We start from the raw sequence: 10,761 nt of genomic DNA, 5'->3' as shown, positions 1-10,761 counted from the left end.
AATATGAAGTCTCTGACATTCCCCTCATCAATCTTATGAAACAGGAAAGTGAGGCTTGGCTGGGATGAGCAATGCAGGCCCGTTGTGACCCACATACTTTTCTATGAGCTCCAAAGCCATCTATTTGATAAGCACACTGTTCTGAAACTGCCTGTGGAGCATCTGTCTTACGGATCAAGAATATGTGGCACCACCTATTAGGAATTTGGAAAAACATAGTATTAGTGGCTCTCTCTTTGGGGTCAAAGTCATGACTCAATCAAAATGAGTAAATTCAGTTCTCTTAAGGCCGAAAGCAACATTCCCCAGTCAGGACCCTTCCCTAGATCACTCACCAAGCTGGGCCTTGGTCTCTAGCAGTAGATGAAGGGCCTGGTATCAGTTTACAATACTGTGACTTACTTGCAAGTAACAAGTACAAGTAGCACTGACTTAGCCATAGTGGCTCAACCACAAGGATTTGTGCATGCTGAATACCAAGAAGTCCAGAGGCAGCAGGTCTTAGGCTTGGTTTGGCAGTTCAAGCATATAACAAGGACCTTTGTGCTTGTTTCTGTTTCGCCATCCTAAGCAGCTGGTTTGTGCCCCATAGTCACAAGCCAACTGCTGCAGGTCTAAGCCTCATGGCCTTCCAAAGAAAGGGGAAAGATCAGAACCAGTGAATTCTTCTCTCTAAACTTTTCTGTTGAGAAACAAAATATCTCTTCTAGAAACCCCCAGTAGACTTGCATCATTAGTTAATATATCATTAGCCAGAAGAAGTTCACACAACTTCCCCTAACTACTTGGGTGGCTAGAAACGAGAGTATCTAGGCCAATTTGTAAGTGGTAGCGAGGGAGAAATGGGCTAGGAATGGCTGCTAGGTGGCCAACATGCAAGGCCCACTGCAGTGTCCTTGGCAAGATTGTAGTCTTGGTCCGAGACCCACCAAAGATCAGCTGAGCTCCAGGGCTGAGGCAGCAGATGTGAGCCCTGGAAGGAACCTTGAATTCATCTTGCCTAAGGCCCACATTTGGCCACAGTAAAACAGAGGCCCAAAGAGAAAAGGCTTGTCCAAGGCCACACTGCTAGTTAGAGTTGAACATTGTCTTTATCTGGAAATGAGGATAATAATATGTATTAGTCAGGTAGGGGTTCTTTAGAGAAACAGAACCAACAGGAGCTTTCTATATCTATATCTACGGGAAGAGAGAGAGAGACAGAGAGAGAGAGAGAGATTTTATTGATTTTAAGGAATTAACTTATGCAATTGTGGGGGTTGGCAAGTCTGAAACCTGTAGGGCAGATTAGCAAGTTGGAGTTTCAGGTAAGAGTTGATGTTGCAGTCTCGAGTCTGAATTCTGCAGGGCAGCAGGCTGAAAACTCAGGCAGGATTTCTATGTGGTAGTTTTGAGAATTTCTTCTTCAGGAAACCCCAGTCTTAAGGCCTTCACCTGATTGGATGAGGTCCATCCACATTATGGACAGCAATCTGCATTACTCAAAGTCCACTGATTTAAATGTTAATCACGTCTTAATACATAGCTTCACAGCAACATCCAGACTGGTGCTTGACCAAACAACTGGGCACTATAGCCTTGCCAAGTTGACACATGAAATTAACCATCACAGAATAGTACTTGTCTCAGGAGGTTGTTATGATGATCAAATGAGTTGATGCTTGTACAGCTCTCAGAACAAGGCCTGGCACAGAATCAGTACTATTAAAGTGTTTCCTAAATAAATAAATATGTCAACAAGCTAACAAAAAACAGGGACTGGAACCAGGCCTTCTACCACTATGGTTTCCAAACTGGGTACCAAGGTGCCCCTGGGCACTACAGCGCACACACAGAGGTACTTAGGATATTTTAAATTTTCCAGGCAAACACAGCAATACTCAATAGCCATTGAACACCACAGGCCCTACTAGCTCAAGGCAGTTCACAGCTTTAATATTAGATCTTGATACATTTTTTTCAGTGATACCATATCTTTGAGAAGGTGGGTTTTTGGTGGCCGTTGTGATAAAAATCAACATGGAACCCAAAATGAGGGTGGCGGTGTCCAATCTGAGAGGTTGTGTCTCAACAGATTCACGCATCCCATTGCTATGTAATTACAGTAAAGAATAAAATTAGGAGCCAGGCACGGTGGCTCACGCCTGTAATCCGAGCACTTTGGGAGGCCGAGACAGGTGGATCACAAGGTCAGGAGATCAAGACCATCCTGGCTAACACATGGTGAAACCCTGTCTCTACTAAAAATACAAAAAAATTAGCTGGGCATGGTGGTGGACGCCTGTAGTCCCAGCTACTCAGGAGGCTGAGGCAAGAGAATGGCATGAACCCGGGAGGCAGAGCTTGCAGTGAGGCAAGAAAATGGCATGAACCCGGGAGGCAGAGCTTGCAGTGAGCCAAGAGCATGCCACTGCACTCCAACCTGGGTGACAGAGCGAGACTCCGTCTCAAAAAAAAGCATTAAATTAAATTCAATTAAATTATTTTTTAAAAATCAAGCTCAGTTGGGCTCAGCTGCTCATGCCTGTAATCCTAGCACTTTGGGAGGCCGAGGTGGGTGGATCGCTTGAGCCCAGGAGTTCAAGACCAGCCTGGGCAGCATGGAGAAACCTTGTCTCTATTAAAAATACAAAAATTAGCTAGGTGTGGTGGCACGTGCCTGTAGTCCCAGCTACTCGGGAGGCTGAAGTGGGAGGATCACTTGAGCCTGGGAGGTCGAGGTTGCAGTGAGCTGAGATCACACCACTGCACTCCAGCCTGGGCAACAAAGTGAGACCCTGTCTCCAAAAAAAAAAAAAAATCAAGCCCAAACCTGGGTGGTGGGGTCCCTTTCCCTCCCTCAGGCACATGTGGATACTGTTTTTTCAAAGGGCTAATTAGTTGTTATGAATACTTGAGTTGTTTGGACCTAGTTACTTAAAATAATAATAATAATAATAATGTTCGGGCATTTCTTTTATTTTTCTTTTTCAGACAGGGTCTTGCTCTGTCGCCCAGGCTGGAGTTGCAGCCACATAATCATAGCTCACTGCAGCCTCGACCTCCCTGGCCCAAGCAATCCTCCCACCTTGGCCTCTCAAAATGCTGGGATTACAGGTGTGAGCCACCGCCCCCAGCCAGGAGTTTCTTTAGACTTAGGGCACCATGAAAAAATTACCGTGATGCAAAGAACTGGGAAAGTTTGAGATCCTCTGTTGTTTATTCTACTCTACAACACTTGTCCTTAATGTACATTAACCCCGTCCACACCCAGATATCCTGAAAGACAACAGGAAGGGCAAGGTCCAAGGGGCTTCACTTAGCCAGTGGTTGAACACAGGTCTGTGGGATGCCTTTATGCAGCAGACTCTGTTCTCTGTGCTTGAGACAGAGCAGTGAGTGAGACTGAATTGGCACCCTTCTTCATGGAGCTTCCCTCAGTGGGATGGAAAGAACCAATCAGCCTTGGCTGGTTGGCATCCACGTGTGCCCTAGATAGGGGAAGGGACCCCCACCACCCAGGTTTGGGCTTGACTTTTTTTTTTTTTTTTTTTTTTTGAGACAGGGTCTCACTCTGTCACCCAGGCTGGAGTGCAATGGTGTGATCTCAGTTCAGCTCACTGCAACCTCGACCAACCCAAGGCTGGTTGGGGCAGGTGTGGTGCTACTTTAGATTGAGCTGCAACTGCAAGATCCCTAGGGAGGACAGAACATTCCAGGCAGAATAAAAGTCTGGCCTGCCTCCGGTGACATCAGGAGAAGTAGGGCCAGCAGGCCCAGGGAAGCAAGCTCCAACCCCGGACTCCCTCGCCCTCTCCGGGACAGCACTCAGATGTCGAGCAGAGTCCCCTCCTGCATCCCTTTGCTGGCCCCAACCCCCACCTCGAACAGGGTCAGGCTCAGCAGAAGCTCAATTCTGTCTGGGAAAGGGGGTGCCATGCAGTTCTGCGGTAAGAGAGGGAGACAGACAACCCCTCCCTCCTCAGCCTCACCAGCTGGGCCTGTGCCTCTGCAAAGCTGCAGTGCACAGCCCCCCTACCCTCCCCGCATCTGCCGTTTAACGATGATGGAAGTTGCTGTCAGTGTGTGGCGACAGTAATAAACACTCTTCTTAATAACACAGGGTGTACCTCTTATTAAAATGAATGGACTCCCACGGCGCAGCCTGGGGCCGCATGGCTGGCAGCCAGCCGGGGACAGCAGCCCTCAACTGGAGCAGTTTATCTGCTGTAATTACTGGCAGGACAACACAGTGGAGGGTTCTGGTGATGGGCTGGGAATGATTCAAGGCCCAGGGCATGCTCAGAGACATACCCACACACCTGGAGTTGCTCACACCACTCTCCAGAAGGACCTCAGTATCCCCCCAGTCCTCAGACCAAGAACATAACTACCCATATCCAAGAGGCACATACACACCTATCCAGACACACACACACGTCTGGAGTTGACACAGGAATGCTCTGATGGGACTCATGTATGCCTGATGTGGCAAAATAGCAGGAAGATGAACAAGGCCCCTCGTGCTGCCATGCCCTCGAGGGTGGCCCAGTGCCATAGGTTATATGCATAAATGCAGGCAGGTGTGTGTGAGGGCAAGGTCCTAGAACTCAGAGAGCGCAGGCAGAGGTGCACGGGGAAGTGCCAGGAACAAGGTGATGATGCACTCGATGGTATTGGCGATCTGGGAGACACGGTCCCTAGAGACCTTGTGTGTTTGTGACATAAAGTAATGGGCAATTAGGTGCCCCCATTATATGGTCTCAAGACACCATGGCATTTAACAAAATTACAATTCATCATTTTGTGATTCCTTATTTAGTCCATGGAAGGAGGGTACAAATGGATGAGTGGGTGAATTAGTGAATTCACAAAAAGTCTTGCAGGGGAACCTGATGACGTGAGAGGGCCTTTCTGAGAAGTCTGAGATTCACACACAAACACCCATACTCACGCACAGATACATACACATACACACACAAACACATACACATGTAGACATGCACACAATGCATGGACGTACACATGCACGGGTGCACACACGCACATGCACAGACAGACACACAGTGCCCACAGATACCTGCCCAGGCACACACACGTTCATCCACCCACATCTGACAAACCCCTTTATCTGGCTGGCTCCGTCGCGATGCTAGAAACAAACACACTGTCCTCAGCTCAGGCAGGTGACCTGAGACTCACCGTCAGAGACCTGCTTTTGAAGGTATGTTTCCTCTCTGGAAGTGAGAAAAGGTGTTTTGTGAGGACTCAAGATGAAGGGACATGGGGGTCCCATGGCCTGCTTTCCTTTTGGCTTCGATTCAGGCCTCTGGCTGCCCAGCCTGCCCATGATGCTGCTGAGGCCTCTTCAGGCAGAGGCCCTGCCCTGCCTTCCCGGAGCCCAGTGAGTGTGTCCAAACGTGGAGTTTCCTTGTTCACAGGGAGCCAGAGATTCTTCAGGACTCTCCATGAGGAGGGGCCTCCCACAAGGCAATGGTTTCCAGCTCCCTCCATGGAACCCAGAGCTTTCCAGAATTCCTGTCTGAGGAGGCAGAGTGTGTCTGTGCGTGTGCGTGCGTGTGTGCGTGTGCACACGCATGTGTGTGTGTGTGTGCATGCATGCATATGCGATGGGGACAGGACTGGGCTCCTTGCTCCCCAGTTGTGCAACTCTCCTTTTCCAACACAACACTGGAGCTATGCAAAAGAATTTCTCAAAGGGTGCTGCTGCTTAAAAATATGTAAAAATTGAAAAACACCAGACTAGCTGGATAACAACCCCAAGGCACATCTTGCTCATCTCAGTCCATGCTGGGCAACATCAGAAGCCAGGAAGAGGAGGTTTTTGACCCACGAAATGCTAATAAAATCTCTGATTTCAAGCTGTCAGTAAGCACTTCCTCTGTGCCAAACCTGGGCTATGTTCTTTAAAGAGGTCATGTCATCTAATGCCCACATCAGCCCTATTACAATTTCCATTTTATAAAGGAACTCAGGCAAGTTAGGCACTTTGCCTAAGGCCACATAGAGAGTAATTAATAGCACCAGGATTTACACCCAGGCCATCTGACCCTAGAGCCCAAGTTCCCCATCAGTACATAACACTGTCCTTGGAGGTAGCAAATGCATGAACTTGACCTCATGAGCCCCACCTATAACCTGCAACCTGTTGAGTTCATTAGCCTGGTATTCTCGGAAATTATTGCTTAAAACTGAAGCTGTTGAGTGAGAGGGATGCTCTCACACTGACCTCCTAGCACGTGATGGGCGCAATGTCAGGGGAGCTAGTCCCACACCTACCTGGCCCATCGGGGCTGGACTTCTGCTTCCAGCTGTGATCACTAGCTTGTATCTGGCCAACCAAGCCTCCAGGAGAAACTAGTAAAGCTGGATCTAAAACCAGAAAATATGCAACATGGATAAACCTTAAGGATATTGGGCTAAGTGAAACAAGCCAGTCACAAAAAGATAAATACAATACTGTATTATTAGAGTATATGAGATATGTATAGTAGTCAAATTTACAGAGTTTCTGCTTTGCAAGATGAAAAAGTCCTGGAGACTGGTTGCACAACAATGTGAATACACTTAATATAACTGAATTGTACACTTAAAAATGGGTAAGATGATAAATTTTGTGTTGTGTATTTTGTCAAAGTTAAAAAAAAAAAAAAAGAAAAGAAAACCCGAAAACAAAAAGCAACACCCACTTGAAGGCAGCAGAGAGCTACTATAGGAGCAAGGACTGGAAGGGCCAAGGCCCCAGAGAAAAAGGAAGCACAGAGGGGTGAGCCTGACATTTAGATCTGCTCTTCCACTAAGGCATTTGCTGATTCATAAGCAGGCTCTTTCCTGAAGGGGCTGAGTTCACCCATTGCCCCTGCACAAGAGCAAATGGAATGAAGGGGTTTGGAACAGTTAAGCCTCCAGGAAGTGTCCCCAGAGAGGGTTTTGGAGTTGCTGGTGTGGGCAATCTGAATGACAAAGCTCCGACATCTCTCTGCATCTCTGCTGCAGCCACCACACACCCTGCAGCCTTACCCAGCAGGCTGGGCCCTCCCCAGACATCCCATACCCATGGACAGGTCAGCCTGTGACGGAAGATGGAACTGCATTCGCCATTCCCCTTGTCCTCTTCCTCTTCTTCCCTCCTTCGTCCTTCCCCACAATTTCTCAGGAGGGGCTCACCCTTCTCATGAGCCACAGCTCTGGTTCCTCTGGCTTTGTACTTCTGCTACACTTAACTTGACCCCAAACCACATGAAGCTCTCAGCTCCAAGTCAGCACAGGACCAGCTCAAACACACAATTTCATCACAGCTCAGGTGGCTCCAGCACCAGCCTTTGTGGCTAGGTGATGAGGAGGCAGGAGACACGTGGTGGAGACACTCTAATAATCATCGAATGATGCACAGTTGGCGCACACAGTGTGAGAAGGATTTTATGTCCATTATCTCATTTCATGCTCACATTAGGGTGATAGAGTATTGCCCCACTTTACAGATGAGGAAACTGAGGCCCTGAAATAGTTCACGAGTTGCCCAAGGTCTCAAGATGGTAACCATGAGCCATGCTGCTTCTGCTGCTGCTGGAGGAGCTTGCTCCTGATCCCCTAGGGTTCCCTCCCATGAGAAAACAGAAGAGCAAGTGGCTCCATTTGGGATGAGGGATAGGGACTCTAGTGACCTCTGTTGTACCTTCAGGCAGCTGTGATGTATGGAGTGGTGAAGTGGCTGGGCAACACCACTGCCATCCCAGCTTCCCAGATGAGAGCCCAAACAACTGGGCCCATTGGACCCTGGGTCAGCGGGAGCAATGTCTGCTTCTAGAGATGTCCAATAGACGATTTGGCCACTGGGCCATCTGTGATGGCCCTCACTTTGGGCCCCTCCAACATTTGTGTTCCAGTGGCTTCAAGGGAAACCTTGAACGACACAGTTTTGAAGGAGGATATGGGCTGTGGTCAAGAAAGAGACAGTCTCACCTACATTGCATTGACGACCTTGATAATAATAACAAAGGCACTGCCTGTTGAGTACCCCCTACGAACCAGGTATCTGCTATGATCTTGTACATTCTTTGTTGCTAGAATTGAGATTCACGGACCAGCGGACCAGCAGCGTCGACATCACCTGGGAGCTCATTAGAAATGCAGGACCTCAGGCTCCACCCAAGACCTGTTGAGTCAGAATCTGCATTTTAAACAAGATTCCTGTTGATTCGCATGCATGGTGAGGTTTGAGAAGCACGGCTTTCCTGCTTGTTTCTATCAGTCCTTAGTTCAACATTCCCAGGAAGTGGTTTTCTTTCCTTCAGATTTTACAACTGACAAAACAGACCCAGAGAGGTAGAAATGGTTGTCAGAGATCACACAGGCAGGAAATGGCTGTGTTGGGAGAACTGGCATTCAAACCCAGGGCAGTATGGCTTCCAAACCAAAAGAAGCGCTGGCAGTGTTATATGAGCTGAGTCTCGGATTCTAAGCTTTTGCTTCCATTGTTTGCTGTCTCCTCCCTCAGGCTACTCCCTGGAAGTCCCCTGAAGCTCCCTTGGGGATAGAACAAGAATAAGGGCGGAAGGACCCCAGCTCATTTGGGTACTGCAGCCCCTTATGGGAGGCGCTGGGAAGGCAGCCACTCAGGATGCCCCCAGGAGAAAGACTCTCTTGCTGCCCTCTCCTGCAGCTCCCCAGTCTGGGCCTCCGACATGATCCCAGACAGCCAGGGAGCAGCCAAGAACCTGCTGGAAAAAGTCAGCTCCCAACGAGCCTGAGGCATCTGCGTACCTGCCTGGGGACCTGGGCGGGAATGTGTCCCGCAGCCCCTCCCTCGGGAAGCAAGAAAGCTGTGCTCTTCCCTGCCAGCAGCATCTCTGCCCGTGGGGCTGCAGCACACGACATGTCTCATTTCGAACCCCTCAATCTTTCCCATTAGCTAAGATTGCAGGTTCAGAGCACAAACATCGTCGCCTGTCACTGCCGATGCACGTCAGCCATCAGCCAGGAATGGTCTCGTCTCCTTCAATCCATCATGCAGGGTTTCTATCGCTCTTGCTACAAGACCACTCTGTGAGCCCTTCCCCCAGCTCCAGGCCCGGGGGACGTGCTGCATCACAAGGTGGCAGAGATGAGGAGGCAGGAGCGAGGGGTAGAGCACTGTGATCGTCACCTGGGGCAGGGGCCTCTCAGGAGGTGAGCCCCTGAAGAGCCCATGCTAGACCACAGAGCAGAGGAAGCAGATGAGGAAGAGGAGGGAGCCAAGGCCCCCACCCTCCCAAGGCCTGGGGTCTATATATGTCTGCTACCTCCGAAGATATATTAATGTTATGGGATCTCTGGGGTGTCGATTTTTCTGACAGGAAACCTCTGGGGCTGTGGCGCCTTTGCCCGAGTTCTTGTCCTGTGTCCAGGAAGAATGAGATGATGCGCAGACAAACGAAGGGTGAAGAAGAGTTTTATGTAGTGTTAGAACAGCTCAGAGGAGTGGGTAGCTCCTTTCTGTAGGCAGGTTGTCCAGTCAAGTGTTCAGCTCTTAGCAGAGAGAAGGCTCTGGAGAGGGTGGCTCCTCTCTGAAGGCAAGTCATTTGGATGTCTCTGAAGGTCTCTGAAGCTCTCAGCAGAGAGGGTAGCTCCTCTCTGCTGGTGGGTTGTCCCTGCAGCTCTCATTGGGGAGGGTATCCCTCTCTGCAGCTGGCCAACCCATCCCGTCATCTCTCTGCCCTCTTCATCCTCTGGCCAACGCCTGCCCTGCTCTGGCTGAGCCCAGGGCTTTTATGGACCTCAGAGGGGAGGAAGTATGTGCCAGTTGGTCCACTGATGGCCACGAGTGGGCCAGAAGAGGCACCACGAGCCCCCACTGCAGTCCTCGGGAAGTCGGCAGCCCGGCTCCCAGGCTTCAGGCCCTCCCTGGCCTGAAGGTGGGGCCTTATTGGGGACCCATCCCCTTCCACCCAGGAATCAATCTGCCTCCCGCTGCCATTCATGGCCCCCCAGGCTTGGCCCAAACCCCTGCTCCAAGAATGGAGCAGGGGCCAGGAGTGGAGAGAGGCCAAGCCGCAGGAAAAGACATCCCTGAGCCTGCAGGGATTGGGAGGGTCCTTCCTGGAGCCCCCAGGGTACACCTGGGTCCTGCACCTGGCAGGGTGGCCACAGCTGGGCCCTGGAGCTCCTGCCCCACCAACTTGGAAGGGGCAGGGCTCCCACTTGTCCCTGGCCCCTGCCTGCTTCCTAGAGCAGGAGGCCCAGGTCTGCAGCCACCACCACTGCACCCAGGAAGGCAGATCCTGCCTGTTCCCAGCTCCCCCAAGAGCACACGGAGGGAGGCTCAGATCCACAGCTGCAGTTTGGGCAGCTATAGCCCCACCCAGTAGGGCGGGGCTCCTGCCTGCTCCATAGAGCAGGAGGCCTGGGTCTGCAGTAGCAGTTTGGGCGGCTGCAGCACCACGGGGACCTACTGTCCCAACTCAGAAGGAGTGGGGTTCCCACCAGCTCCATGGAGTGCACAGCCCCAGCCACGCAGCTGGGTGTGATGGCAGCAGCCACTGCCATCATTAATAGTTACTATTTTTAGAATTGCAGATCCCAGGGCTTCACCCCCTGGCCATTCTGACTCAGCAGCAGCTAGGTTGGGACTGGGAATCTGCATTTTTTGAGACTGAGTCTGGCTCTGTTGCCCAGGCTGGAGTGCAGCGGTGCAATCTCGGCTCACTACAAGCGAATCTCCTGCCTTAGCATCCCGGGTAGCTGGGATTACAAGCACCCACCACCACACCCGGTTAATTTTTG

At 50.5% G+C, this 10,761-nt stretch overlaps 3 annotated features.

Moving 5' to 3' along the window:
• Positions 4,914–5,740: an enhancer, noted in NCBI's record as "H3K27ac-H3K4me1 hESC enhancer chr14:76582665-76583491 (GRCh37/hg19 assembly coordinates)". NCBI's record gives its function as "activates a minimal SCP1, AML or CMV promoter by ChIP-STARR-seq in naive H9 embryonic stem cells {active_cell/tissue: H9 hESC(naive)}" and the evidence as "EXISTENCE:reporter gene assay evidence [ECO:0000049][PMID:30033119]".
• Positions 6,721–7,222: an enhancer, noted in NCBI's record as "OCT4-NANOG hESC enhancer chr14:76581183-76581684 (GRCh37/hg19 assembly coordinates)". NCBI's record gives its function as "activates a minimal SCP1, AML or CMV promoter by ChIP-STARR-seq in naive H9 embryonic stem cells {active_cell/tissue: H9 hESC(naive)}" and the evidence as "EXISTENCE:reporter gene assay evidence [ECO:0000049][PMID:30033119]".
• Positions 8,981–9,512: an enhancer, noted in NCBI's record as "H3K27ac-H3K4me1 hESC enhancer chr14:76578893-76579424 (GRCh37/hg19 assembly coordinates)". NCBI's record gives its function as "activates a minimal SCP1, AML or CMV promoter by ChIP-STARR-seq in primed H9 embryonic stem cells {active_cell/tissue: H9 hESC(primed)}" and the evidence as "EXISTENCE:reporter gene assay evidence [ECO:0000049][PMID:30033119]".

The sequence above is a fragment of the Homo sapiens genome, chromosome 14 (genome assembly GCF_000001405.40).
Source record: "Homo sapiens chromosome 14, GRCh38.p14 Primary Assembly".
NCBI classification, from domain to species: Eukaryota; Metazoa; Chordata; class Mammalia; order Primates; family Hominidae; genus Homo; species Homo sapiens.
This window is presented reverse-complemented; position numbering and strand designations above follow the sequence as displayed.